The sequence below is a fragment of the Homo sapiens genome, chromosome 8, assembly GCF_000001405.40.
Source record: "Homo sapiens chromosome 8, GRCh38.p14 Primary Assembly".
NCBI lineage: Eukaryota > Metazoa > Chordata > Mammalia > Primates > Hominidae > Homo > Homo sapiens.
In genome coordinates, this window is record NC_000008.11 from 22,087,890 (window position 1) to 22,114,266 (window position 26,377).

Consider the following 26,377-nt stretch of genomic DNA (forward strand, 5'->3'; position numbering starts at 1 on the left):
ACTGCAGGGGCACGATCATAGCTCATTGCAGCCTCGAACTCCTGGGTTCAAGTGATCCTCCTCCCACCTCAGTCTCCCGAGCAGCTTGGACTACAGGCACATACCACCACACCTGGTTATTTTGTATTTTTATTTTTTGTCAAGACAGGATCTTCATATGTTGCCCAGGCTGGTCAACAGCCTTGGCCTCCTAAAGTGCTAGGATTTCAGGCTTGAGCCACCACACTCAGCTGCAGACTTTTTTTTTTTTTTTTTTTTTTTTGAGACGGTCTCACTCTGTTGCCCGGGCTGGAGTGCACTGGCACGATCTTGGCTCACTGCAACCTCTGCCTCTCGGGTTCAAGTGATTCTCCCACCTTAGCCTCCACATACCACCACGCTTGGCTAATTTTTTTGTATTTTTAGTAGAGACGGGTTTTCACCATGTTGGCCAGGCTGGTCTCAAACTCCTGGCCTCAAGTGATCAAACCGCCTTGGCCTCCCAAAGTGCTGGGATTACAGGTGTGAGCCACCGCCCACAGCCCATAAACATTTTCTGATAGCCCTGTCAAAAAAGTAAAAAGCAACACGTGAAGTTAATTTTAACAATATACGTTATTTAACCCAACACACCTAATAGTCATTTCAATATGTAATCAATATAAGCCATGGTTGTTGCAGTTTCACACTTTCCTTTCTTACTGTATCTTCCAAATCGGGGTGTGCTTGGCACGGCACATCTTGGTTGGGACCAGCACATTTCAGGAGCTCATCAGCCCATGTGCCTGGGGCTGACTGAGACTTCAATTCAGGAGGAATTGTAATTTCTCTTCGAAAACACCTCCCTTAGCTCCCGCCTTAATCCCAGCTACTCAGGAGGCCCTGGCGGGAGGGTCGCTTGAGGCCAGGAGCTGGAGATCATCCTAGGCAGCACAGTGAGACCTCCCCTCCCAGTAAAAAAACAAAAAAAAAAAACAATTGGCCAGGCGTGGTGGCGCGCGCCTGTGGACCCAGCTACTCTGGAGGCCGGGGTTGGAGGATCGCATGAGTCCAGGAGTTGGAGGCTGCAATGAGCAGAGATCGCGCCACTACACTCCAGCCTGGGCGACCAAGCGAGACCCTGTCTCGGAAGAAAGGAAAGAAAAAAAAAAAAAAAAAAAACACCTCCCAGCCAACTCTCAGGGCCCACCGCTGGCGGTTCCCAGCCCGACTGGGCGCCCCCAGCCGGGGTTAGCCAGCGCCACGCAGCCGGGCCGGGAAGGGGCGGAGCGGCCGGGCCCCGCCCCCCTCGTCGCGCCGGGGCCGCCGGGGCCACGGGGCTGCCTCCTCCGCCTAGAGCGCTGCCGCCGCCGCTTTCGCCCGGGAGCCGGGGGCCGGGCGCCATCATGCTGAGCCGGCTCGGGGCGCTGCTGCAGGAAGCCGTGGGGGCGGTGAGGCCGGCAGGGCCGGGCCGGGCCGCCGGGAGTCGCGGGCCTAGGCCGGGCTGGGCGGGCGCGGAGCCGGGCGCGGCCCGCAGGAGGGCGGGCGGGCGCGGGCCCCCTCGGGCAGGGACCCCCGGGCCGCGGCGCCCCTTCCTCTGCCTCCCCGGCCGCGCCCCGCTTCCCCTCGCTCTTCCCAGTCCCGCTCCCAGACTCCTCCCGACCGCCCCACCTCCCCGGCCTGCTCCCGCGTCGCTTCCTGTCTGTGCGTCCTGGCCCCGGAGTCTCTCCCAATTCCCGAACTCGCCTCCGCCGGGACGCTCCCTGTCACCGCTTGGGGTGTTTCCTGCCCCCCGGGGCCCTAGGCCGCCTCCCCCCAGTCCCGGTGGGCCTGCCTCCTTCCTCCGCTCCACCCCACCGCCTCGCCTGGGCTTGAAAAAATCGCCGTCCCTTCCCCTCGGTCTGATCTCCCAGACAACTCCAGGACCTTGTTGGGGTGCAGGACGCCCTTCCCGTCACCCCGGGACGTGGGAAGTGCAGGCCCTGCCGGTCCAAGTCCCCACGAAGGGTAAAGACCCGGGGCAGGCTGGTGGGCCCCCAGCCGGGGAAATCGCCTTCTATTGGGTGCAGATGTTTCCAGCGTGGCTGTGACCCCTCACAAGCCAAATTGAGTTAGGGACATGCCGCCCGTGGTGGGGCCTGGGTGGCCCTGTGCGGGGAGGAGAGTCCATTGATGTTTCACGTGCCGTCAGTTTGTGTTTTTGCCATTTTTTGTTGGGGCTGCAGGCTGGCAGGCAGCCTACTACTAGGGTTCGTTCAGCAAGATGTAGCGCTGTGTAGGAAGGGTGGGGGTATTCCCGGTAGGGTGGGGGGGGTGCCCGCTGTTGAAAGTAACTCTGCCAAGAAGCTGTCTGTAAAGTCAGCAATACTTCTGCCTCCTAGTATAAATCTTCCCCCAATTGATGAGTTGAGTATCAGATTTTCTCAGGAGAGAAAGTCTTGGGTTTCACCCTCCTTCCTCCCCACCACCTCCTCCCCAACCCTCATGGGAGCTCCTGTTGAAAGAAGTTTGCCTTAGGCAAAGTTGGGAAGAAAGTCAGAAACTATGACTTCCTCCACCTTCCCAGCCCTGCTGTTGACCCAGGGCCAGGGCCTTGGGGCATCCAGGTAGAGAGGGTTCCAAAATGATTTTTCTTCCCCTTCCCCCATCCCCAGTCAAAACAGCTGTGATCTTCAAAAGTGATCTGATAAACCAATTCATACCTCTGGGGAACACTCCATTTACAGGAGGTGAGACAGGCCAGACAGTTCCTCAGTCCTGAGGAGTGAATTTCTTTCTTTTTCTTTTCTTTTTATTATTTATTTATTTATTTCTGAGCCCAGGCTAGACTACAGTGGTGCGATCTCCGCTCATTGCAGCCTCCACCTCCTGGGCTCAAGCAATCCTCCCACCTCAGCCTCCTGAGTAGCTGGGACTACAGGCATGCGGCACCACGCCAGGCTAATTTTTGTATTTTTTGTAGAGACAGGGTTTCAACATGTTGCCCAGGCTGGTCTTGAGCTCCTGGCCTCAAGCGATCCTTAGCCTCCCAAAGTGGTGGGATTACAGGCATGAGCCACCGCACCCGGCTAGGAGTCAAATTCTAAGGCTTCCAATGACAGAAGTACAGGCATCAGTGGCAGGAGATTTTGGCAGTGGAGGGAGATCTTTTTAGGCAGGTGATCTTCCGGGCCCTTTAGTATTGACCATATAGGCTATGTCCGGGCGGTGTGGTTGGCCCTACAGGGAGACGGGAATTCCTCTTTTGTGCTCTACCCTCAGGTCGCCAGTCTAGGTCTTTCCCAAGCCTTGGTCACCAAGTGTGATCCTAGTAAGTCAACTGATTACTCATTGAGTAGGAAGACTGCTCCTTCCCGCCCTCTTCTGATCTAACAGATTAGGAATCATTACAGCTTTTTTTTTTTTTTTTTTTTTTTTTTTTTAAGATGGAGTCTTCCACTGTCACCCAGGCTGGAGTGCAGTGGGGCGATCTCAGCTGACTGCAACCTCCACCTCAAGTGGTTCTCCTGCCTCAGCCTCCTGAGTAGCTGGGACTACAGGGCTGCGCCACCACGCCCAGCTAATATTTGTAATTTTAGTAGAGATGAGGTTTCGCCATGTTGGCCAGGCTGGTCTCGAACTCCTGACCTTAAGTGATCCACCTGCCTTGGCCTCCCAAAGTGCTAGGATTACAGGTGTGAGCCACCACCATGTCTGGCCACTAATAATATCGTTAAAGAGAAATTGTTGGGTCTAGTGCCTTTGGTTTGGAGTTATCATAGCTGGTGGTGGAGTTAGGTAAAGATCACACACCTGTGTCACCAGCTCTCTAATGGCCTGTGCTGGTTAACCTGCCTCTCCCGTGTCTCCTGCCGTACTGGAGTATTCTTTTTGGTTAAAGCCCAGCTCAAGGTTTTCAAAGACTATAAGCCAATTTTGAGGCTAAAGGAGACCCCATCACAGAAATTATGAGATAATTGTAGGGCTGGTGAAGGGCCAGAGGACTTTCTAAAACAAGGAACTAGGGAAAGAATCTCTCCAGGAGTTTCCTGAGATATCTGGTAAATATTCATGGGTATTCACTATGTGCTGAGCCCATTGAGGGCAGGCTAGCTGTAAAACACAGAACCCTGGCTCTCAGGGAGCTCATCATCTAGCAGAAGAGATGATTGCTCAGCACAGCAGGCACTGTCACATAGAATGTAGTGAGATGCGGTCACTGCACAGGGATGGAATATTTGGAATAACTGTGGGTGGTGCTACTTTTGAGAAGGGTTGCAGCCCCTACCAACTAGCTTTGCAAGAAGACAAGATGCCCTGCGGACTGAGGGGAGTTTCCAGTTCTGTGAATGTCATCCCTCCCTCCCCATGTTGCAGTGGCCTTCTAAGCATATTCTTCCTGCCTTTACCTCCTCTCCCAAGGCCAACTGCCAGATGAGTCTTCCGAAAACACTGCTCAGAAGGTGCCAATGGCCGGGTGTGGTGGCTCATGCCTGTAATCCCAGCACTTTGGGAGGCCCAGGTGGGCGGACCACTTGAGGTCAGGAGTTTGAGACCAGCCTGGCCAACATGGTGAAACCCCGTCTCTACTAAAAATACAAAAATCAGCCAGGCGTGGTGGCACATGTCTGTAATCCCAGCAACTTGGGAGGCAGGAGAATCACTTGAACCCAGGAAGCGGAGGTTACAGTGAGCTGAGATGGTGCCACTGCACTCTAGCCTCAGTGACGGTGAGACTCTTTTTTTTTTTTTTTGAGACTCTGTCTCAGAAGAAAAAAAAAAAGTTGTCATTGACCTGCTCCCTGCTGCCTGCAAAAAATGACTGAGACTTCTTGGCTTGGCATTAGAGACTCCGAAGTCTCGCCAGCCCACCCCTTCCCCAGGCACACTTTGCAGAGTTCCTTCTGCAGGGACTGTCTTCCTTCTCTTGTTGATATTGACCTGGTTCTTCAAGTTTTAGTTGAGATGTGATCTTGGTAAAGCCTTCCCTGTTCCAGCCTGTTAGAAGTTACCCCTGTTTTTCTGAGAGGTCACTACTTTCCACCTCTCCTGCGGCCTCACACTACTTCCTTGTAGCTTCGTTATTCAATGCGGTTTTATATCGTCTTCTCCATGACACATTTCTTGAGGACTAGGTGTTAGTCATCCTCATGTTGCTTGTGGCATCTAGCATAGTGTCTTGTACATAGTGGGCACTTAGAATGAACAAATGATTTCATGAGTGGCTACTCAGTTCTGTGGTGCAGTAAAGTGTGAGGTCAGAGAGGTGTGGGCAGGCAGGGACACTGGAGAGGGCTTGGTGGAGCTGCTGGGGACTGAACCTCACTGGGGACTTTCACGATCCAGACAGTTAGTGGGATACAGAGCACCTTGGGCAGAGGAGTGGCCCCAGCAAAGACCTAGAGGCAGAAATGCACAGCTGTGGGGAGGGATGATTAGAATTCTTTTTTTCCTGAAAACATTTACTCTGCAAGAAAAGCGAAGGAATGGTGTTGTTGTTGTTGTTGTTGTTGTTTTTGAGAAGTTTTCAGGGAAAGTGATTGTTCTCAGTGCAAGGCCAGTATCAGCCATGGTGTAGAGATGGAGAGAGCACTCATGGAAAAGGGGGAGGTTAGGGGCTTGCCCAGAGCAGAACCAGAATTTTCCAGGGCTTGATAGAAGGAGCCGGTAGAGGAGGAAACGAGAACAGCACTGGCTGAGGAGTTGGGGTTGTGCAGGCTCAGGCTTTGGACACAAGATGAAAGCATGTAAGCATGTTATAAGGAAGGCACATTGTTAATATCATGCTAATGTTACCTACCCTTCCGGCTGAACAGAGCCTGTGGTGGTCTTGAACAGATTTTCATAGACTCTCAGATTGAGAGGAATGGAAAAGCTTTGTCTTTTTTTTTTTTTTTTTTTTTTTTTTGAGATAGGGTCTCACCTTGTCACCTAGGCTGGAGTGCAGCGCTGCGATCACAATTCACTGAAGCCTTGACCTCCCTGGGCTCAGGTGATCCTCGCACCCCAGCCTCCCAAGTAGCTGGGACTATAGGCAGACACCACCACGTCCTGCTAGTTTTTAAATTGTTTATAGAGACAGAGCTTCATCATGTTGCCGAGGCTGGTTTAAACTCCTGGACTCGAGCCGTCTGCCCACCTTTGCCTCACAAACTGTTGGGCTTACAGGCGTGAGCCACTGCACCTGACCTTTGCCACATTTTCGATCTGTATCATTTTGCTTTTCTTTGGGGGACTGCGCTCCCGTGTTCCTCTATGTGCCTCTACTGTAGCGTAACCATGCTGTGTTGAAATAATCTGTGTCTGTTTCCCCCAGCAACATTCTTAGCACCTCCAGGACAGAGACAGGACAGGATTGTGACATACAGCAAGAAAACAGCATTTCCAGGAGGGAGGGGTATCTAGGGAGAAGTGCCTGTCAGGAGATCCTTGGCAAGATGACAGTGTGTCCTGGAGGAAATGTGTTATTCCTCCCTTTGAAAGCCAGGGAGCAGGGTGCCTCCTCATGAGGAGGCCTAGCATGAACCTGACACTCAGAATATCTGTTCCCATGCGGGCAGGGGCTCCCTGGCCTTTGTGGCCCCCACTGAGGTTGTGTGTCTGCCCTCCGCAGCGCGAGCCCAGCATTGACCTGCTGCAGGCCTTCGTGGAGCACTGGAAGGGCATCACGCACTACTACATCGAGAGCACAGGTGCGGCCTGGCCCTCCCCAGCCCAGGGACCCTGGAGGGAGCGGGGAGGAAGGAGTGTGCAGAGTGTCACCATTCAGGTGTCCTGGGAAAGGTAACCTGCCCAGTCGTTCAGAATTGGAGCCGAGTTCACGGAGACAGAGAACCAGACAGACAGAAGACCCAGAGCCCTGGGCCACTCCACTCCTGATGATTTAGCTGCCGGTCCCACTCTGACCTTTTGGAAAGAGGCTGTGTGAGGAAGGAGTAGCCTGGTTGGGGGTCTCACTGGCCTGACTCTGCAAGGAAGAGGTGGCTGCACTTCCCCCAGCTTCCAGCTCCAGACCTTCAGGCCCCAGGTGCTTGTGCCTAGGATTTAATGATCAAAAGAAAAGAATTTAATAAATTCCCCTTTCCCCTGAGCCAGCTTAGGGGCAATGTCCTTGTAGAGATCTGGGGTAGGAGGAGAACGAAAACCAAGGTGGGTAACATGCCTGGGTCCCTCTCTCCAAGCTGACACCCCAAAGAGCCAAAGCCTTGGCACCTGGTCCCATCAGGACCGCTCACTGAGGGGATGGCATCTGAGTGGCTGCTCTGCAGTCATGAGGCTGCCATGGGTGGATACGGACTGGTTGCCAGGTAACCATATCCTGCATCCCTCACTTTTCCCTTCCTGGAGTTCATACTGGGGCTTGATCCCAGCCCACACCTTTCCTACAGGCTTTCTTTCCAGCCCGGGCCAGCCCAGGAAATTCAGAAATCTGTGGGACCCTCTGAGGGTTCTGCTAGACCAGGTTTCTCAATCTTGGCACAGTTGGCATTGGACCTGGAGCCTTCCCTGCGCGGGGCTGTCCTGGGCGGTGTGGGATGTGCAGCAGTAATTCTGGCCTCTACCCACTAGGTGCCAGTAGCACACCCCACCCCCGAATTGGGACAACCAGGAAGGTCTCCAGACATTGCCTCATGTTCCCTGGGGGGGAAAAGCGCACCCCTGGTTCTGAACCTATCTCTTCAGGTTAAAGATCTCTTGAAGGAGAGCCTCAGTCCACCAGCTCAGTAAGATCAGATCAGAACTGGCTGAAATTCACCTGGGGCTTCCCCCATCCAGCCCTTTCATTTCCAGAATGGTCCCTAGACCAGAAGGGTTGGAAGTGCGTGGGGCAGGCCGCCCTACTCAAGCTCCTGTTCCTTAAAGGAAAGCTAGGGGGTGCTCCAAGTCTAGCCCTGAAGCACCAGAACTTTCTTTAAAACACACACTGAGACTCTGACTGCAAAAGCCCCCACTAAGTAGCTTCCCCGTCAGGGCGTTGGTACAGGGAGCAGGACTGGGTCAGACCTGAAGGTGGTGGCACAGATGTTTTTTTCTGCTTTGTGAAAAACAGAGGCTTGCCTTCTCTGAGTGTCAGTGGGGGAGGCCCCAGGAGGTTCTCTCTCAGGCAGCTGCTGGAATTACAGCTTCTAAGTTATGTGACAAGAGCCCTGAGCCCACAGTGTCCACTCAGGCCCAGAGCTGACAGCAGCCTTCTGTGGGCCCAGGACCATGTGTCCCTGTCTCTGTACCCATCCTAGGGTTTGAAGGAAACCGATGCTGCTGCCCCCTGATAAAGGGCTGGGCATGCATGCGTTCTCAGAGGACTGTGTCCTGAGCCTGGAAGGACTTTTGTCTTCTTAAATATTGAAGCATTCACTGTAAACTTCCATTTCCCAGTTGCCAGCAGCTGTCTTCCCCCACCTCTCCCAGACAGGACCTCCCCTTTCTGGGCTTTGGCAGGAGAGGGTGAAGTTTTCAAGCCGGGGTGCCCCTCTTTACCCTACTCACCCTTGTTTCCCAAACATCATTAGATGAAAGCACCCCCGCCAAGAAGACAGACATTCCCTGGCGGCTGAAGCAGATGCTGGATATCCTGGTGTATGAAGAGCAGCAGCAGGCGGCCGCGGGTGAGGCAGGGCCCTGCCTGGAGTACCTGCTGCAGCACAAGATCCTGGAGACTCTCTGCACGCTGGGCAAGGCCGAGGTGGGAGGCCCTCTGCGCGCTGGGCCAGGCCGAGGTGGGAGGCCTCTGCGCGCTTGGCCAGGCCGAGGTGGGAGGCCTCTGTGCGCTGGGCCAGGCCGAGGTGGGAGACCCTCTGAGTGCTGGGCCAGGCTGAGGTGGGCGGTGGGCAGTGGGCAGCCTGGGGCTCCCTGGATTCCAGGCCTTTCTGCCTATGCTCTTCCCAGTCCTGACACTGAAAGTGGCAGTTCGGGCGAGAGGAGCAAACAGGACGGGCACTGTGGCTGTCTCACTTAGAACACTCCACCATCCCAGCGCTCCTGTTCCCAGTTCACTCCACAAAGATGGGCCTGCCATGTGCCAGGCTCTGCTCTAGATGCTGGGGACACAGCAGGGATTCATACTGACAAGAGCCAGGCATGGTGATGCGTGCCTGTAGCCCCAGCTACGTGGGAGGCCGAGGTGGGTGGATTGCTTGAGCCCAGGAGATGGAGGCTGCAGTGAACTGTTATCGTGAGACCGCACTCCTGCCTAGGAGGCAGAGCAAGACACTGTCTCTTAAAAAAAGGAAAGAAAACTCGACAAGAATCCTAGTGGGAGAGGCAGGACCATCCTGTGATGGGTCAATAATGACCCAGTCATGGAGCACAGTGATGCAGGAAAAGGGGTTGTGAGTGCCAGGAAGGCTAGTTTCGAACAACGTGGCAAGGGAAGCAGGCCTGTGAGAACGGGCCCTCTGAGCCGGAACTGAGGGAGGAGTTGAGCCTGGGGCTCTCTGGGGGTGCAGTGTTCCAGGTGGGGGACACAGCTCTGACAGGCGCTCTGTCCCTGGCCTCAGTACCCCCCAGGCATGCGGCAGGCAGGGGACACGGCTCTGACAGGCGCTCTGTCCCTGGCCTCAGTACCCCCCAGGCATGCGGCAGGCAGGGGACACGGCTCTGACAGGCGCTCTGTCCCTGGCCTCAGTACCCGCCAGGCATGCGGCAGGCAGGGGACACGGCTCTGACAGGCGCTCTGTCCCTGGCCTCAGTACCCCCCAGGCATGCGGCAGCAGGTGTTCCAGTTCTTCAGCAAGGTTCTGGCGCAGGTGCAGCACCCCCTGCTGCATTACCTCAGCGTCCACAGGCCTGTGCAGGTGAGGGGCCCGGAAGCCAAGGGGTGTCTGGGTGTGAGGCCCCCTCTCTCCCCTGCCACCCCTCTCCCCTCTGTTTCTGTCCTGGTGCTCTTCCAGAAACTCCTCCGACTTGGTGGGACTGCTTCCGGATCCGTTACAGAAAAGGAGGAGGTGCAGTTCACCACCGTCCTCTGCTCCAAGATCCAGCAGGACCCAGAGCTGCTCGCCTACATCCTGGAAGTGAGCACTCTGATCGGGAACAGGAGGGGGAGGGCCCAGAACCCCAGGGCAAGCCCCCTCTGCCCTCCTGAGGAGGCAGAAGCAGAGATCAGGTACCCGGGAGGCACGCAGGCAGCTTCCCCTCCAGCTCCAGGCCGACGCCCTGCTGGCAGCCCACCCTGCGGTCCCAGTGGGGGACCCTGGGAAGTGGTCCCCACCAGGTCTGGCCTCATCTCACCCTCTTTTCAGGGTAAAAAGATTGTAGGTAGGAAGAAAGCATGCGGAGAACCCACTGCCCTGCCTAAGGACACAACCAGCCACGGGGACAAGGACTGCTCCCACGATGGTGCTCCTGCCAGGCCCCAGCTGGACGGGGAGTCCTGTGGGGCCCAGGCCTTGAACAGCCACATGCCTGCTGAGACCGAGGAGCTGGACGGTGGGACCACAGAGAGCAACCTGATTACCTCCCTGCTTGGGCTGTGCCAGAGCAAGGTGCTGGCAGCAGAGATGGAGAGGTTGGGGGTGGGGGAAGGGTGGGTTGACGGCTGGGGGGTGATTTGGGGGCTCACATGCATGTCCCTGAAGTTGTATCCTCATCCCCTAGAAGAGTCGGGTGGCCTTGAAGGCCCAGGAGAACCTGCTGCTCCTGGTGAGCATGGCCTCCCCAGCAGCTGCCACCTACCTGGTACAGAGCAGCGCCTGCTGCCCTGCGATCGTCCGGCACCTTTGCCAGTTGTACCGGTCCATGCCTGTCTTCCTGGACCCCGCAGACATTGCCACCTTAGAGGGCATCAGCTGGAGGTGGGTGCCCAGCCCGGGAAGGCCGGCCAGCATCTTCAGTTGCTGGCAGCCCTGCCTGTCTTTGGTGGCCAGCTCCCCTGGGGTTCCACGTTGCTAGGGACCCCTGCTGGCCACCCTCTCCCCAAGGCTGCAGCTGATCCCCAGGGGACTTCTTGCCCTCCAGGGAAGTACTGGTTTTGCTGCCTCTGTCCATAAAACCCCCAAGATAACTGATCCCCAGCCACAGAGGTTCCACAGGAGAGGGGAAGGGCCCAGTTTCAGGACACATTGAGGAAGACCTTGAAGCTCCTTCTCCACTCTCTGAGACTTCACTCCCCTCTTCCTTCAGGTTACCCAGTGCCCCGTCTGATGAGGCTTCCTTCCCTGGCAAGGAGGCCTTGGCTGCCTTCTTGGGCTGGTTTGATTACTGCGACCACCTCATCACAGAGGCACACACGGTGAGCAGGGGCGGGCGGAGGCCGGGCTCTCATGCTGTTCCCTGTACCATCTCCATCTCGAGGACCAAGTGGAGCAGGGACATGGAAACATGGGGTCCAGGAGCTAAGCGGGGCCCCAGGCGGGCCGGGACCCTCTCCTGTGGCATCAGGCGCCGCGCAAGAACACGGTTATTTCTCAGCTGGAATTGTAATGAGGGCAAAACACATTGGCGCTCTCTGGCACCCAGGTGGTTGCGGACGCCTTGGCGAAGGCTGTGGCTGAGAACTTCTTCGTGGAGACCCTGCAGCCCCAGCTCCTGCACGTGTAAGTGTCTAGTTCCCTCAGGCATGACTGTGGTCTACAGTAAACCACCTACCCCACCCAGCCTCGTCCTGTCCCTAAGGCCAGACACCTTCTTGACCAGAATCCCATTTGTGGACCCCATTGGGTGATGTTTGCCAGGCCTGCCCCATGATGTGCACGTGGCTCTGAGCTACGTGGGCTAAACGAAGGCCTCCTACCCTTCCCTGCAGGACCTCAGCAGGGATGGGCAAGTGACCACAGACATACCAGCCAAACATGCGAGGCAAGCAGGAAGGGTTCGGCCACCCGCACTCATGTGCTGTCTGCACACACCGGGCCTGGCTAAGGTGCCCTCTTCCCGTAGGTCCGAGCAGAGCATCTTGACCTCCACCGCCCTCCTCACAGCCATGCTGCGCCAGCTTCGCTCCCCTGCGCTGCTGCGGGAGGCCGTGGCTTTCCTCCTGGGCACAGACCGGCAGCCTGAAGCCCCCGGGGACAACCCCCACACCCTGTATGCTCATCTCATCGGGCATTGTGACCACCTCTCTGATGAGGTACAGTGGGGGACCTCCATCTCTGTTCCTCTCACCACCCCTGCCAGAGGGATTTCCTGAACACTCTTCCCATTTCATTAGTGTTCCCAGTTGACTCCACCTTTGAGACACTGAACTGCAAAACACTGCCGAGCCACTTTTATCACACACTAATTTTCTATGATCATATACTTTTTTTTTTTTTTTTTAAAGAGACAGGGTATTGCTCTATCACCCAGGCCCTGGAGTGCAGAGGTGTGATCATAACTCACTGCAGTCTCCAACTCCTGGCCTCAAGCGATCCTCTCACCTCAGCCTCCTAAAGTGCTGGGACTGCAGGCATGAGCCACTGTTCCCAGCTTATTTTTTTACAGTATTTTATATTTTGCACACTTGGCTCGCTGGAAGGCTAACACGTACTACTTCGTGAGGTAGGCGAGGTTGATACTCCCATTTCTCAGACATGGAAAGTAAGGCACGGAGAAGCGAATTGGCTTGCCTGAAATTGCACATCAAATTAGTCACATACCAGGGACCACCCAGACTTCTGGATTCCTAGGCCCACACCCCCCAACTACCCCCAAAACCTGCCACCTTAGCATCCAGCCAAGGGAGGTGACTCTGCCTCAGAGGTCTTTTCTTATCTGGGTTAGCCATGCCAAGGCACCCCTGGGAGCTGGGTGGGGAAGGGGCTATCCTGCCGACCCCCTTCCTGCTCCAGATCAGCATCACCACACTCCGGCTGTTTGAGGAGCTGCTGCAGAAGCCCCACGAGGGGATCATCCACAGCCTGGTCCTGCGCAACCTTGAGGGCCGCCCTTACGTGGCCTGGGGCTCACCAGAGCCTGAGAGCTATGAGGACACCCTGTAAGTGAAACCGGCGCCCTTTGGACTCAGCCCAGCCCTTAGCACTCGCACGCTCACTCTGTCCATTCATTCACTGGTGCCGTACTGCTCTGCCCTGGCCACAGAGACCTGGAGGAAGACCCCTACTTCACCGACAGCTTCCTGGATTCCGGCTTTCAAACTCCCGCAAAGCCTCGCCTAGCTCCTGCTACCAGTTACGATGGCAAAACAGCAGTGACCGAGATCGTCAACAGGTGGGGAGCAAGTTAGGCAGTCTGAACCACTTGAGTTTTATTTTATTTTATTTTATTTTTTGAGATAGAGTCTCGCTCCGTCACCCAGGATGGAGTGCAGTGGTACAATCTCGGCTCACTGCAACCTCCACCTCCCGGGTTCCGGATCCAAGCGATTCCTGTGCCTCAGCCTCCCGAGTACCTGGGATTACAGACATGCACCACCACACCCAGCTAATTTTTATAGTTTTAGTAGAGACTGGGTTTCCCCATGTTGGCCAGGCAGGTCTCGAACTCCTGACCTCAGGTGATCCGCCCACCTCAGCCTCCCAAAGTGCTGGGATTACAGACATGAGCCACCGTGCCTGCCCTGAGTTTTACTCTTTGGCCACAGCCCTGGGGTCCAGTCAGGGAGGGAGATGGGGTCCCACAAGCAGGGGAGAGCAGGGTGAGCCGGGAGCGCCTCCACACCGGCTTCTATCTCTCAGTTTCCTGTGCCTGGTCCCCGAGGAAGCCAAGACCTCTGCCTTCCTGGAGGAGACAGGCTATGACACATACGTCCACGATGCTTATGGCCTGGTGAGTGGCTCCTGCTACCAGCTCCCACTTCCTGTCCTTCAGAACAGCTGGGTCATAAGCTCTGGGTTCCGCCTCTCTCATCTGCCCAAGGACCCCAGCCCATCCCTCCTGCGTGGGGCCCTGTCTGCTGGTTCCCAGTCCCCAGGCCCACTGCCTCTACTTTCCCGCCTGTCTCAGTTCCAGGAGTGCAGCTCCCGCGTCGCCTCCTGGGGCTGGCCTCTGACCCCCACACCTTTGGACCCCCATGAGCCCGAGCGACCTTTCTTCGAGGGCCACTTCCTCCGAGTGCTGTTTGACCGCATGTCCCGGATTCTGGATCAGGTAGCTAGTGGGCCTGGGCCAGGAGAACTCCAGGCTGGTGCCTCTGGGGTCCTTCAAGAGCAGAGGTTGGCCACAGGGTTGCCTCTGCTTCGGTTCTTTGGTGCCACCCCTGTCCTTTCCCCAGGTGGGAAGCCCCGTCTCACCCCTGCTCCACACGTCCTAACACGTTCTGGCCCTCAGCCCCATGGAATCCATGACACACACACATCACGTGAGCCTCCCACCCCCACACACGTTCACAGTGGCCAGGCACCTTGCTGGGGGAGTGCAAAAATACTCACCAGCCCTGCCAGCCCTCGGCTCTGTCCACCATGTTCCTACAGCCATACAGCCTGAACCTGCAGGTGACCTCGGTCCTGTCCCGGCTTGCCCTCTTCCCCCACCCCCATATTCATGAGTACCTGCTGGATCCGTACATCAGCCTGGCCCCCGGCTGCAGGAGCCTATTCTCCGTGTTGGTGAGGGTGAGGACGCCTCGGCCCAAGGGAGTGTGCCTAGTGAGGTGGAGGGGACATCAGGGAAAGGGAACGGGGCAGGTGGTTGGGGGCTGGAGGGGTGGGCACCCTTGCCAGTGCCAGGGAAAGCACAGTCTCCCATGCTCTGCATGGTGTGGCAGGGCCAGGGGACTCACTGGTGTTGCTGGCCCCATCTGAGTCCCCTGTGATTCCCGCTGTAGGTGATCGGGGACTTGATGCAGAGAATCCAGAGGGTACCCCAGTTCCCAGGCAAGCTGCTCCTGGTGCGCAAGCAGTTGACGGGCCAGGCTCCTGGGGAGCAGTGAGTACCAAGGGTGCCAGGTGAAGCCTTGGGGTGGGAGAGTGGAAAGCGCCTCTGGAGGAGAGGTGGCTGGCCACAGGGTCAAGCCTCGTGGATGCTGGGCTGTCATGCTGGGCACAGTCCTGCCCCCACCCAGCCATGCCCCCTGTGCCATCTCCCCTCAGGCTGGACCACCAGACCCTCCTCCAGGGCGTGGTGGTGCTGGAGGAGTTCTGCAAGGAGCTGGCTGCCATTGCCTTCGTCAAGTTTCCCCCACATGATCCTCGCCAGAACGTCTCCCCAGCCCCGGAAGGGCAGGTCTGAGCCAGCACCAGGGCGGTGGGAGACTCCTGTCCACACCTCTGCCCCAGAGCTGCCTCCTGCCTGGCACTGCCGCCACACTCCCCTCCTGGGATGGGGCTTCTGCTCCCGGGCTCACTCAAGGAGACTGCGGCATGTTGACCACACCAGACTGGGTTTCAGGGAATGGGCATGCCAGGTGCCAAGGAGCCAAACAGATGGCTTTCCAGGCAGCAAGGTCCTTGGGGCCTTCTTGGAGGAGCTTGGGTGACAGCCAGGTGAGCACCCAGACCCCAGACCCTCATGTGCTGTGTGCCTGGCCCCTTCTGTACTGGCCATTTGTGGCCAGGGCCAAGCCTGTGACTCAACTCCAGGGGCAAGATGGGGAGTGAGCTGATGGCTCCGAGACTGGTCAGGAGCCCAGGCCAGTGAGATGGGGCCTGGAGCCTTGTCTGTGTCACATTAGGTACCATGGGAGCTGCTGAGACCTGACATTTTGTCCCCTGCCTACATGGCTTGGCCCATGGAGAAGGAGCAGTGAATGGGATCGTCGGGGAAGCCCCTCTTCCTGCTCTGCTCCCCTGGAAACTGTTGCAAAACTCCCAGCCGCCTCATGGCAAATGCCCAAAGCATGTTCCGCACCCAGGCGGGGGCCCCTGCTAATGAGAACCTTGGTGCAGCTGCAGCCAGGAGGGGAGCGGGCCCAGGAGCCAGGCTCAGGTCCAGCTGGTTCCTCTCTGGCGCCTTCTGAACCCGTCTCAGCAGGTCCACAGCACCTGGGCAGAGGTCAGAGACCAGGGGAGGCCGGGCCTTGCCCTCCCTTCTGCCCAGGGCCCAGTGTTCTTGATAGAAGACCCTTCTGGGGAGCCAGGGAGCTCAGGGGACAGATAAGGGAAGGACGCCCCCTGACTCCAGGCCCCTGAGCCTGGCGGGAAGTGGCTGCGGCCCAGGCAGCCAGTCCTGGTGGTGTTCTCCCTGCATGCCCTCCGTGGCTGGGCTGCCACCCCACCCGGCCCGAATCTGTCTTGACCTGCAGGAATACACGGGCGGCGCCAGGCATTACCTCACAGCGGGACTACACAGTTGCTGGCTTTGCTCCTGGGCAAGGAGGAGCAGGCCAGAGCCTCTTTTGCTTCCTTTTCTTGCCCATGCCGCTTCTAGAAGCCAGGCACAGGTTGCCAAGAGGTGACACGAAACAGGAGGAAACTCAGTGACCTCTGCCTCTCCCACATTCCTCCCCGCGGGGGAGGACCTCGCCGCTCTGAAGAGCACCGTGCACATGTGGGTGCACAAACGTGGGTGTTGGTGTGGACGGGGCGCAGATCTCCGTGGATGAACTGCGTCTGGACTCTTAGATTCATAAAATATTCGAGGGTTTGGGAGTCACAGACCCTCCCCTCTCCTCAGTGCACTTTGGCATTTGCACGGTGTCTTCCCCGGACAGCACAGCAATAAATGGTGTGATTGCGTGGACACCGTGGCTCTGTTCTTGGCCAAGTTTCCCCACCTTCTGCCCAGGACTCCACTGCTAATTCGGGCCCATCTTCCTCCCCAAGGAAGACAAATTCTTTTTCTAGCGCTGCAGCAGGGAGGTGGGGTGGGCGGTAAACAGACAGGCTCTGGCAGTGCAGATCTGCTGATCCTCAGCGCCTGCCAGGAGCCAGACTCTTGGCGGAGCAGTGCCACTTCTGCTGGGCTGACCTGCAGCGGAGAGTCTGCCCACCCCGGAGACACCATGAGGGAATGGACCACGTGGGAGCATCTGTGTGCAAGTCTCATTTGGGTGTGTTTATGCTGCGTGTTGTATGCCTGTTTTAGTCATAAAGTAGGCCTGATATTTAAAACCTTGTCTTTAAGTTCAAGGCTGCAGTGAGCCGATTGCACCACTGCACTCCAGCCTGGGCAATAGAGTAAGACCCTGTCTAAAAAAAAAAAAAAAAAATTTCACAGGTGTGTTCTCAGGGAAAAAGAAAAGTTAACACATAAATAAACCCTTTGTCCTCAGATGTGTGTGGAGGGGTGGGGGATCCTCTGAGGGGGGTCCCCAAGAGACTGCGGGAGGGCAGGCTGAGAACGTGGAGGAAAAGGAGCCAGATGTTGGCTCTCAACTCGTGTTGATCACTGGGTGGCTTTTTAAAATCCCAATGCCCAGTGCCCCATCACCAGTTAAATTATTGTTGCTGGGGGTACACCCAGAGTTCAAGCTCTCCAGGTGGTTGTGCATGGTGGCTCACGCCTATAATCCTAGTACCTTGGGAGGCTGAGGCGGGAGGATCACTTGAGGACAGAAGTTCAAGACCAGCCTTGGCAACATAGTGAGAACCCCATCTCTACTAAAAGCTTAAAAATGCGCCTGTGGTTCCAGCTACTTGGGAGGCTGAGGCAGGAGAATCACTTGTCACTTGAGCCTGGGAGGTCAAGGCTGCAGTGAGCCAGGATCACACCACTCCACTCCAGCCTGGGTGACAGAGCAAGACCCTGTTTGAGGGAAAAAAAAAAAAACCCAGGTGACCCTAACGTGTGCCCAGGGTTGGAAACTACTAGGCTAAATAATGGGGGCAAATAGCCAAATGTCATTGCCCGGCTGACTGGATATGGGCCAGTGGGTCCCTTAGACACTGAGAGAAGTGAACTGAAACAAAGGGGTTTGGTTCCATCATTTGTGAGGTATTTGTCCTCAGAGGGTACAAGGATTCCTACCACCCTCCAGGGCCCAGAAAGGAGGGCAGCCAAGAGAGGCAGGGAGGGGGCTGGGAAAGGGGCCTTGGAGGTCATCTTGGCCCTCAGAAGGGGAGCCTGTGCTAGTGTTTCCTTGCTCAGAATCAGAAATCTCTACCGTAGAACACTTGATATATTTTATTTGTTCATTTCCTTTGATTTTGCTTAAATTTCAGTAAAGTTCTTTTTTTCCTCTTTCTTTTCTTTTTTCTTTTGAGAGAGGGTCTTGCTGTCTCACCCAGACTGGAGTGCAGTGGCCTGAGCATGGCTCACTGCAGCCTCAACCTCCCGGGCTCAAGCCATCCTCCTGCCTCAGCCTCCTGAATAGCTGGGATTTACAGGTGTGCACCACCTTGCCTGGCCTTTTTTTTTTCCTGTAGACACAGGGTCTCACTATGTTGCCCAGGCTGGCTTCAAACTCTGGCCTTCAAGCGATCCTCCTGCCTCAGCCTCCCAAAGCACTGGGGTTAAAGGTGTGAGCCACCGTGCCTGGCCAAAGTTCTTTTTTTTTTTTTTTTTTTTTCAGACGAAGTCTATCACCCAGGCTGGAGCTCGGCTCACTGCAACCTTTGCCTCCGGGGTTCAAGCGATTCTCCTGCCTCAGCCTCCTAAGTATCTGAGATTACAGGCATCTGCCAACATGCCCGGCTAGTTTTTTGTATTTTTAGTAGAGATGGGGTTTTGCCATGTTGGCCAGGCTGGTCTCGAACTCCCTGACCTCAAGTGATCCACCTGTGTCAGCCTACCAAAGTGTTGGGATTACAGGTGTGAGCCACTGTGCCCGGCCACTTAGCAAAAAAAAAAAAAAAAAAAAAAAAAAATCCTACCATGATTCAGCGAGGCTGAGGGGAAATGAAGAAAAGGTTTGGTCTGGCATGGGCTGAAGTTGTGAAAAGGCAGAGGCAGGAGAGCCAGGGGGAGTGGTCTGCGCCAGGGAGGCTCAAGGAGAGAGCAGAGGCAGCACCTGCAGCTCCTGTCCCACTTGAAGTTCCTCTGGGGCCGCCCACTGCCCAACCCTTGGAGGGCTCAGAGCTGTGTTTCATTAGGGATGGGTCCCCTCAGAGTCACATCCCGGGCCAGCAGGCCAACTGGAGGGAGCCCCAGGGGCCGTGCTGGACAGCAGACTGGCCCGCACTGTCAGTGCACTGGGAAAGGCATGGGTGCCTGTGGGTAACACGAGGGGAGCAGCAGCTCCTGGACAGTAGTCCCCATCACTTTCTCCCCACAGAGACGTGTAGGCAGGGAGGCAAGGTGAGTAACACCTCTTTACTCAGCAACGTGCTCCTCCCTCGGGGGACCTTCCCCAGTGCCCCTCCATGCTCGAAGGGCCTGGAAGGATCAGAATGCAGGCCTTTCCCAAGGACGGCACAGAACGTGATGAGGAGATGCCACTGGGGGTGCAGAAAGCTCCCCATCCCCCTGGGAAGAGGCGTCAGCGTGCCCTCAGGGTAGTCAGGTCCTGAGCTTTGGACTCCTCGCTTGGTTAAAGGCACTGTCCCTTGTGCAATCTAGAGGAATGCTCCTCAAAGCATCTCTCCTGGGGACCAGGAGAGCCGCCCCTGCTCCCAATGCAACAAGATCCCTGATCGCCAGCCTCTTGCCTCCCTCAGAGGGAGACAAGTCCGCACTGGAGGGAGCACGGCTGCCTAGCTCCCTGTCACCTCCCCCACCTCTCTATCTGTTCACTGGGACAACAGAGGATCCCTGAAGCCGCTGGAGGAGCTGGCTTTGCAGGTCTTCCTCCATCACCTTCCACCAAGAGAAGTTCTCACCCCGAACTTTTGGGGGTTCATCCTGGATCCCTGGGCTCCGAAAAGCCACGGTCACCAGCACATTCAAACAGATGCCATCACTGTGATCTCGGCCCAGGTGCTGCAGTCCAAGCAACCCCTTGATCTCCACCACCAAGTGGTGCAGGGTCAGACACTCCTGCAGCAGCCGCAGGACGGCCATCTTCATGCCACCCCTCTGCTCCATAGGGTCGAGGCCACAGGCAGTGACAGGCAAGTGAGGCATCCCCACTGTGCCCACTAACACCCACACTGTCTGGGCGCTGGTAAAGGTAGCCACGAGCCGCTGGCAGACCAGATCACAGGGTAGCTCTTGGGGCAGAATGAGAGGGTGCCTGGCTTGCTGGCGATACTGGGCGGCTAGTTCAACCAGGTGCAGGATGTCATGGGCTCGCAGCGGAGTGGGCAGGGAGGTCCGTGGGTACCAGGCAGCCTGCAGGGACTCCGCATCGGCCTCCTTGGAAGTCTTGAGAATTCCACCTGGGGGAGATGTGGGGGATGGGGCAGGGAGGGTCTGTGTGGAGAGAAGTGCAGCTCTGGCAGAGTCAACAGACATCCCTGACCCAGGAGAGAGGCCCCCAGCCCAAAGGCTGGAATCTGCCCATGCCAGGCTGTGCCAGCCATAACAGGACTGGCTGTAGAGGGGCTCACCTCACCGAGGAGCTGGGGGAAAGGTGTCAACTGGCCCTGTTCACACTGCCTCCAGGTGGGCCATACCTGTGGGGCGAGCGAGGAACACGAAGCGGACCCAGGAGGGGCCCCGCTCCTCCACGGACAGCAGTGTCTCGGGCTCACAGTGCAGCCCCGCCTCCTCCTTCACCTCCCGCTGCAGCGCCTCCACGATGGTCTCCCCTGGCTCCATTCTCCCCGCAGGCAGGTACCACGACCCCCGGCACTCCCTCTTGGCCTCCTGGATCAGTAGCACCTCATCCTGAGAGGAGAGAGGATCCTCACTTCCTGCCACAGCCTTCCCTCGCCCCGGGACCAGGGGGCATCTCAAACACAGTCGCCCAAGACTCCCCTCTGGGTGGACACTCTCAACCCAGCTAGCGCTCCAGGAGACCTGCCCTCGTGTCGCTGGGGGCTGCAGCCCTCTCCTCTCTGCAATTCGTCTCTCTCTGGATTTAGGAAGACTTCCATTTCAGGAAGGGCTGAGATTCCTGGAAGCCGCTTCAGGGGCTGGAGATGAGGCCCCAGAGTGAGGGTCACCATGTGTCTGTCTGTCTTGGATTGATTTGCGTCTGTACCTGCCACTGTGTATCTCTCGCCTCCAACGGCGTGGTTTACAAACTGTGATGGGTCCTCACACTGGGGTCTGGCTTGAAACACGACCCCCACCTCCGCTCTGTACAACCCCGCCCTATGGCCCTGGCCCCGTCTAGTTGTCATTACATCGCCCACTACAGGCATCAGCACCAAAGGCCTGAAGGTAAGCCGGGATTGAGCCACTGCTATCTGAGGGGCCCTGGGCACTCCGCTAGACTCTGGGGAAGGGAAGGAATGAGGCCTAGTCGGATGAGACAAACAGGCCCCGGGCCTCAGTTTCCTCTTCTGCATATCGGGACGAACGCAGGACACAGATGCGAGTGGGAGTGGGAGTGCTTTGCAAAACTGGGAAGCGCCACGCACGCGGCAGCGCTGGCTGTGGCCGTTGGGTCTTCTGTCCCCACCTGGGCTGGCTGCGCGCTCCCGAGGCCCGGCGGGCCCGGGGGCGGCCGCTCACCTGCTCGCTGAGGAACACGGCCAGCACCACGTAGCACACGTTCTTCCGCAGCCGCACGGGCGCCGGCGGCTCCCCGGCCGGCGCCGAGTCGCAGCTGTGCACGCTGGACCCCTGGCCAGCCAGCACGGAAGCCAGCGCCCCCGCCAGGCCCTCCGAGGCCATCGGGTCCCCCGGGGGGCGGCGGGCCGGATCCTCGCAGACCGACTGAGCCGAGCCGCGGGCTAGAGTGCGCTGCGGAGCCCGCTCCCAGTCCCTGCGGCAGCGGGCCGGGAGCTCACGAGAACGCGGAAGCGCACGCGAACGCGGAAGCGCACGCGAGCTCTGGCCGCTGATAGGCTGCGCGGCGCCGCGGCCTGCCCGGATTGGCCGGCCCGCGGCATTCACCGAGGGGGCGGGGCCGCCCGGGGCCGCCCTGGAACTGGGGGGGCACGGGTCCGGAGCCCAGCGGACCCCGCCCGGCTTCTGCCGCCTGTCAGTCCCGTGCGCTCGGGACGTCTCCCAGCCGCCACCCGCTCGCCAACTCCCCGAGCGCGCACTGGTCTGCAGGAGCTCCGACGGTGACGTCATCTTTCCTGCAGGGCGCGTTGCGCCGCCGGGGTAGGCGACGGTGACGCGACAATCCGGTGACGTCACGGAGGCCCGGGGCCGCCCCCTGGAACCACTGTCCCGCTGTTGCCGTAAACACACAATGGCATTGCCGGAGTTGATCATATCCCAAATACCTTTCTTCTCATTCCACCAAAGAGTTATAAATGTCACATGGCCCGTGGGGTGGGGGACATAAACCCCTGCCTTGAAGGAGATTCTGCAATAGTTGGAGAGATGGACGGAGTCCTAGATGAGGAGTCAGCTGAGGGTTCGAGGCTAAGTGCTAAATGCTTGGTTTGGGCAGGAAGAGTGACAGGCGCTGGAAGGAGGGAGGGGGCAGGGCTGGGGATGGCGGGAGGGGTCCGGGGCTGAGAGAAGGCTGCCGTCAGCCGGCCCACCCTCATCAGTGTCCCTCTGCCTACCGCATTTCCCACGCAGCTCAAGGCCCTCTCTGCTGCAGATGGTGCGCCCTGGGAGGGCGGGGGTGGGGCCCTGCTCCTCCATCCTTGTCGTCACCCTCCCACCCAGCGTGCAGGACCTGGCGCGTGGAGAGCAGGGTGGGGGTGGTTGTGGCGAGCGCCTGCTCCTCTCCCAGCTCGGCCTTTCCTCCTTCACCCCACCTCAGCACTGGAAGGCAAAGCCAGCTGGAAGGGATCTGCGAAGCAGGCCGTCTGGCTCCTCACCTGGCAGAGGCCACCCCTTTCCTCTGCCTCTGATAGTTTTGTGCGCCTCCCTGCTAGGGAGACTGTGGCTTGGTGGTGTGGACAAAGCTCAGGACCTGCAGCCAGATGGCCAGCCACTGCTGACTGGCTTGCTCTGTGCTCCTGGGTGAGCTGTGGGCCTCAATTTTCTTATTTGTAGAGCAGGATCATAGCAATTCTTCTTTTACAGGGGTGTTGGGAAGCCACAACAATTGGAGAGGAGCTGTGTGGATTGTCCAGCACTGGGCACCGTCCCCAGGCAGCCCACCAACCCTCAGGGGTGGTCCCTCTCCACCATAGCTCTTGCTACCACACGCAAGGCCTGCCCTCATGAAATGTGACTTTTGTTATCCCCTAGAGTCAGGGTTTCACTGTGTTGCTCAGATTGGAGGTGCAGTGGCGTGATCACAGCTCCTACTGCAGACTTGATCTCTTGGATTCGAGTCATCCTCCTGCCTCAGACTCCTGAGTAGCTGGGACTGCAGGTGTGCACCACCACGCCTGGCTAAATTTTTAATTTTTAATTCTTTGTAGAAACGAGGGTCTTGCTGTATTGCCCAGGCTGGTCTTGAACTCCTGGCCTCAGTGATCCTCCCACCTTGGCCTTCCAAAGTGCTGTGGTTGCAGGCATGAGCCACCATGCCTGGCGAAATGTGCCTGTAGAGCTGCCTTAGAACTGGACTCAGGAACTTCAGCAACGCAGGATGCATCTCTTTAGGCTCCTCTCACCTGCTGATACTGACCACAGGCTCCCTGGAGGCAGGGCCCTGTGTTAGGCTGTGGGATATCACTAGAAGGCCCATGAATTTTGAGGCACTTGCTGAACGCCGCTGGGCCAGGCCCTATCATGGACCTCTCACCTTCCAAATAACTGCAGGCACAGGACCCCAGGACTGCAGAGCAACTTGTCAACATATTTGCTCTGTGTGTGTGTGTGTGTGTGTGTGTGTGTGTGTGTGTGTGTGTGTCTTGCGGCACACACATGTGTGAATCCCTCAGTTTTCCCACCTGTGAAGTGGGGGAAGTTGGACCCAGACTCCTGTCTGCCTCGCAGGGATGATTTGAGAGAGTGAGATCATGTCTAGGCAGGGATCTGGGAGCTTCAGAGGCAGCCTAAGGTAAACAACAGAAGGCCTCACTGCCCAGAGAGCAAAGACCGCAGCAAACCGTGGCTCCACGCCTCCCATTATCCCGGGGGGTAAAGCCCTCCCCCAAAGCCTCTTGTAAACTGTGAAGGGAGTGCTGAGACAACAAAGAGGCAGGAGTTCCCAAGGCCTTGGGAGAGAACAGCAGTGAGACAGAGGCTGGAGAGGCCCTGAGACAAGGGAGGCAGCTGAGGGAGGACGGGAGGCTAGATAGGAACCACCAGTGTCCCCATCAAGTCAACTGTGTGTCCTCCAGTCACAGAGAGGGAAGAACCCTGGCCAGTGTGGCGGGCCGCACAGTATGGTGAATGGGAGTAGCTTAATGCTCCCAGCACCCTTGGGAGCCAAGCCAGAGCCAGCCGTTTCAGGGCATATGTGCGCATGTGCGGTGGGGGTGGGATGGGGGGAGCACAGGAGCAGGAAGGCCTGGGTAGGCGACCATGGGGATGGGGATGGGGATAGGGACAGGCAGGGCAAGGTTGTATCAGGGCATCTGTGATGCTAGAGCCATGGACAGAGCAACAAGGCCTGTGTCTTGACAAGGTAGGAAGGTGAGGAGGGCAGGAACCCAAGCTACAGCGGGAGAGGGAGGGCTGGCCACAGGCTAGCTCTCTGAGGGACCCTGGGGACGCCACATCTACCCTCCAGGCCATCTGTCAAATGCAGGCATGGTTGGATCCTGGAACAGAAAAAGGGCATTCATGAAAAAACTGGTGAAATCCTGGTGAGGCCTGTTGCTTCGTTCGTAGTGTGGTATCAATATTAATGTCGTAGTTTTGATCAAGGCACCATGGTTATGTAAGATGTTCACAATAGGGGAGGCTGGGTGAAGGATAATTGGGAACTTCCTGTGCTATCTTTGTGACTCAGCTGTAAATCTAAAATTATTTCAAAATAAAAAGCCTGAGCATGTATATTCAGGGCAACTCGAATCTATGCTCCTGGGTAAAAAGGGAAAATAAAAAGTCTGAGAATTTTATCAGAGAAAAGGAAAGAAGGCATTGGGTATGCAACCCTGCGCTCACTTCCAGCTTGGCTGGTTGTATGTCTGGGATTTCTGAGCGACAGAGGGGCTGCAGGCAGAGCACAGCTGGTAGACCCTGTGAGCAGCAGAGGCCCAAGGGTCTCTGAGGAACAGTGCCACAGAGTGCCCCAAGACGAGTCTCCGAGTCAGTCCCTACCTGGTCCGGCTGCATTCTCAGGAACAGTGCTGGAACAAATGAACATTGATTCACTTCTGTTTACAAAGAGACCAAATATGTCCTCAAGGGCATTGTGACCCACCTGGAAGGCCAGAGGCGGTTAAGAGGAGATAAGGTCTTGAGGGGAAGACAGAGGTTTAGTGGTGCACTGTTCCCACCCCAATGGGTAAAATTCAGAGAACCATCTTCCCACAGGAAATACTCCAGATTTGGGGTTCTGAGGTGACATCAGGACATGGCTACAGAAGATGAAGTGGGGCATGGTGGATCACGCTTGTAATCCCAGAACTTTGGAAGGCCAAGGTGGGCACATTGCTTGAGCCCAGGAGTTCGAGACCAGCCTGGGCAGTGTGGCAAGACCCTGTCTCTACAAAAACTACCAAAATTAGGCATGGTGGCATGCACCTGTAGTCCCAGCTACTCAGGAGGCTGAGGTGGGAGGATGGCGTGAGTCCGGGAGGCAGAGGTTGCAGTGAGCTGAGATTGCATCACTGCATTCCAGCCTGGGTGACAGAGTGAGACCCTGTCTCAAACAAAAGATGAAACGTAGGTAGGAATGGGTCATTCGGGGCCACTTGGAACATGATCAGCTATAAAGCACGTACATTGGAAGAAGAAGGACAGAGAGGAGGGCAAGCCTGTCTTTAAATTCCACTAAGAGTTAAGACTATAATGTACACAAGGTGTCTTGACTCAGAAAACTTGGTTCAAATCCCAGTTCTTCCACTAAAATTGCTATGCGACCTTGGGTAATTTACTTAATTGTAGCTTGCCTGTTTCTTCTTCTGTAAAATGGAAATAAATCCTATCTGTCTTAAAATCCTGATAACGGATTAACTGAGATCATTTTAATAAAAGGGATTAAATGAGATAAATTATTATTATTATTATTATTATTATTATTATTATTATTATTTTGGAGGCAGAGTTTTGCTCTGTCTCCCAGGCTGGAGTGCAGTGGCATGATTTCGGCTGACTGCAATCTCCACCTCCCAGGTTCAAGCGATTCTTCTGCCTCAGCCTCCCGTGTAGCTGGGATTACAGGCGCCTGCCACCATGCCCAGCTAATTTTTTTTTTTTTTTTTTTTTTTTTTTTTGGTATTTTAGTAGAGACAGGGTTTCACCATATTGGCCAGGCTGGTCTTGAACTCCTGACCTCAAGTGATCCACCCGCCTCTGCCTCCCCAAGTGCTAGGATTACAGGCGTGAACCACGTCGCCTGGCCAGATGAGATAAATTAAATGAAAACAAAAGCAAAGTAAACTGTAGAGTTCTCAGTTTTTTCTTTTCTTTTCTCCTCTTTATCCCATAAAAAAATGAAAATAACTGAGTTCTCCAAACAATGAAAGAAGCCCTACATTTTTTTTTTTAAATAAAGCATAGTTTTGTAAATCATGGCAAAGCCACTTAATGGAATATAAGCAGTCATTTAAAATGAAGATTAGGTAGCAACACAGAAAATGATTATGATATGGTGTCGAAAGAAAGAAAC

At 56.4% G+C, this 26,377-nt stretch overlaps 2 protein-coding genes across 14 annotated transcripts, besides 13 other annotated features; one reads left to right on the forward strand and one right to left on the reverse strand.

The window, feature by feature from the left end:
- Positions 1,151-1,370: a silencer, noted in NCBI's record as "silent region_18976". NCBI's record gives its function as "represses an Ori minimal core promoter by ATAC-STARR-seq in GM12878 lymphoblastoid cells {active_cell/tissue: GM12878}" and the evidence as "EXISTENCE:reporter gene assay evidence [ECO:0000049][PMID:35858748]".
- On the forward strand, positions 1,261-17,022 carry FHIP2B (FHF complex subunit HOOK interacting protein 2B). Of its 12 annotated transcripts, NR_148728.2 has the most exons (20): positions 1,261-1,409; positions 1,872-1,965; positions 6,551-6,629; positions 6,721-6,964; positions 8,448-8,620; positions 9,627-9,731; positions 9,828-9,950; positions 10,179-10,421; positions 10,534-10,730; positions 11,059-11,167; positions 11,395-11,471; positions 11,815-12,004; positions 12,705-12,850; positions 12,955-13,083; positions 13,551-13,641; positions 13,819-13,962; positions 14,286-14,426; positions 14,639-14,739; positions 14,904-15,296; positions 16,055-16,491. NR_148728.2 is itself a non-coding variant. In NM_001354251.2 (18 exons), the coding sequence occupies exons 4-18, from the start codon at positions 8,498-8,500 to the stop codon at positions 15,040-15,042; spliced, it is 2,058 nt and encodes a 685-aa protein (NP_001341180.1). In that variant the 5' UTR covers positions 1,261-1,409; positions 1,872-1,965; positions 6,551-6,629; positions 8,448-8,497; the 3' UTR covers positions 15,043-17,022. The 12 variants fall into 12 exon arrangements, 5 of the variants coding, with proteins under 5 accessions (NP_001341180.1, XP_006716444.1, NP_073586.5 ...); XR_007060751.1 differs by lacking the exons at positions 1,872-1,965; positions 6,721-6,964 and having other exon boundaries at positions 14,256-14,426; XR_428314.4 differs by lacking the exons at positions 1,872-1,965; positions 6,721-6,964 and having other exon boundaries at positions 14,256-14,426; positions 16,180-16,491.
- Positions 1,431-1,490: a silencer, noted in NCBI's record as "silent region_18977". NCBI's record gives its function as "represses an Ori minimal core promoter by ATAC-STARR-seq in GM12878 lymphoblastoid cells {active_cell/tissue: GM12878}" and the evidence as "EXISTENCE:reporter gene assay evidence [ECO:0000049][PMID:35858748]".
- Positions 1,681-1,780: a silencer, noted in NCBI's record as "silent region_18978". NCBI's record gives its function as "represses an Ori minimal core promoter by ATAC-STARR-seq in GM12878 lymphoblastoid cells {active_cell/tissue: GM12878}" and the evidence as "EXISTENCE:reporter gene assay evidence [ECO:0000049][PMID:35858748]".
- Positions 2,001-2,140: an enhancer, noted in NCBI's record as "active region_27076". NCBI's record gives its function as "activates an Ori minimal core promoter by ATAC-STARR-seq in GM12878 lymphoblastoid cells {active_cell/tissue: GM12878}" and the evidence as "EXISTENCE:reporter gene assay evidence [ECO:0000049][PMID:35858748]".
- Positions 6,126-6,626: an enhancer, noted in NCBI's record as "H3K4me1 hESC enhancer chr8:21951526-21952026 (GRCh37/hg19 assembly coordinates)". NCBI's record gives its function as "activates a minimal SCP1, AML or CMV promoter by ChIP-STARR-seq in naive H9 embryonic stem cells {active_cell/tissue: H9 hESC(naive)}" and the evidence as "EXISTENCE:reporter gene assay evidence [ECO:0000049][PMID:30033119]".
- Positions 16,408-16,555: a silencer, noted in NCBI's record as "fragment chr8:21961808-21961955 (GRCh37/hg19 assembly coordinates)". NCBI's record gives its function as "represses an EF-1alpha promoter that drives an FKBP-Casp9 reporter gene in an ReSE screen in phorbol 12-myristate 13-acetate-treated (for megakaryocytic differentiation) K562 erythroleukemia cells {active_cell/tissue: K562(+PMA)}" and the evidence as "EXISTENCE:reporter gene assay evidence [ECO:0000049][PMID:32094911]".
- On the reverse strand, positions 18,989-22,593 carry NUDT18 (nudix hydrolase 18). Of its 2 annotated transcripts, XM_011544650.2 has the most exons (4): positions 22,260-22,593; positions 21,250-22,054; positions 20,244-20,457; positions 18,989-20,006 (listed from the first exon to the last, which is right to left on the reverse strand). In XM_011544650.2, exons 1-4 carry the CDS (start codon positions 22,262-22,264, stop codon positions 19,411-19,413), a joined length of 1,620 nt encoding a protein of 539 aa, XP_011542952.1. In that variant the 5' UTR covers positions 22,265-22,593; the 3' UTR covers positions 18,989-19,410. The 2 variants fall into 2 exon arrangements, with proteins under 2 accessions (XP_011542952.1, NP_079091.3); NM_024815.4 differs by lacking the exon at positions 22,260-22,593 and having other exon boundaries at positions 21,250-21,530.
- Positions 19,330-19,474: an enhancer, noted in NCBI's record as "145 bp 8:21964802 sequence used in MPRA reporter constructs". NCBI's record gives its function as "activates a minimal TATA-containing promoter with rs1552286 allelic activity by MPRAs in C283T melanocytes and UACC903 melanoma cells {active_cell/tissue: C283T | UACC903}" and the evidence as "EXISTENCE:reporter gene assay evidence [ECO:0000049][PMID:36423637]".
- Position 19,402: a transcriptional cis regulatory region, noted in NCBI's record as "rs1552286 or 8:21964802 MPRA-significant variant associated with a GWAS melanoma risk locus at 8p21.3". NCBI's record gives its function as "allelic transcriptional activity by MPRAs in C283T melanocytes and UACC903 melanoma cells {active_cell/tissue: C283T | UACC903}" and the evidence as "EXISTENCE:reporter gene assay evidence [ECO:0000049][PMID:36423637]".
- Positions 19,871-20,644: an enhancer, noted in NCBI's record as "H3K4me1 hESC enhancer chr8:21965271-21966044 (GRCh37/hg19 assembly coordinates)". NCBI's record gives its function as "activates a minimal SCP1, AML or CMV promoter by ChIP-STARR-seq in naive H9 embryonic stem cells {active_cell/tissue: H9 hESC(naive)}" and the evidence as "EXISTENCE:reporter gene assay evidence [ECO:0000049][PMID:30033119]".
- Positions 21,104-21,883: a silencer, noted in NCBI's record as "silent region_18979". NCBI's record gives its function as "represses an Ori minimal core promoter by ATAC-STARR-seq in GM12878 lymphoblastoid cells {active_cell/tissue: GM12878}" and the evidence as "EXISTENCE:reporter gene assay evidence [ECO:0000049][PMID:35858748]".
- Positions 24,000-24,365: a silencer, noted in NCBI's record as "fragment chr8:21969402-21969767 (GRCh37/hg19 assembly coordinates)". NCBI's record gives its function as "represses an EF-1alpha promoter that drives an FKBP-Casp9 reporter gene in an ReSE screen in HepG2 liver carcinoma cells {active_cell/tissue: HepG2}" and the evidence as "EXISTENCE:reporter gene assay evidence [ECO:0000049][PMID:32094911]".
- Positions 24,000-24,556: a biological region, named in NCBI's record as "H3K4me1 hESC enhancer GRCh37_chr8:21969459-21969958".
- Positions 24,057-24,556: an enhancer, noted in NCBI's record as "H3K4me1 hESC enhancer chr8:21969459-21969958 (GRCh37/hg19 assembly coordinates)". NCBI's record gives its function as "activates a minimal SCP1, AML or CMV promoter by ChIP-STARR-seq in naive H9 embryonic stem cells {active_cell/tissue: H9 hESC(naive)}" and the evidence as "EXISTENCE:reporter gene assay evidence [ECO:0000049][PMID:30033119]".

What these genes read in the sequence shown, in the direction of transcription:
- FHIP2B (XM_006716381.4), top strand. Translation starts at nt 1,365, where the DNA reads ATGCTGAGCCGGCTCGGGGCGCTGCTGCAGGAAGCCGTGGGGGCG. An exon ending in TTGGGCTGTGCCAGAGCAAG is followed by an intron (nt 10,422 to 10,533) that starts GTGCTGGCAGCA and finishes CTCATCCCCTAG; the next exon opens with AAGAGTCGGGTGGCCTTGAA. An exon ending in GTGACCGAGATCGTCAACAG is followed by an intron (nt 13,084 to 13,550) that starts GTGGGGAGCAAG and finishes TCTATCTCTCAG; the next exon opens with TTTCCTGTGCCTGGTCCCCG.
- NUDT18 (XM_011544650.2), bottom strand. An exon ending in CCGTGTTCCTCAGCGAGCAG is followed by an intron (nt 20,458 to 21,249) that starts GTGAGCGGCCGC and finishes CTCTCCTCTCAG; the next exon opens with GATGAGGTGCTACTGATCCA. An exon ending in GTTCCTCGCTCGCCCCACAG is followed by an intron (nt 20,007 to 20,243) that starts GTATGGCCCACC and finishes CATCTCCCCCAG; the next exon opens with GTGGAATTCTCAAGACTTCC.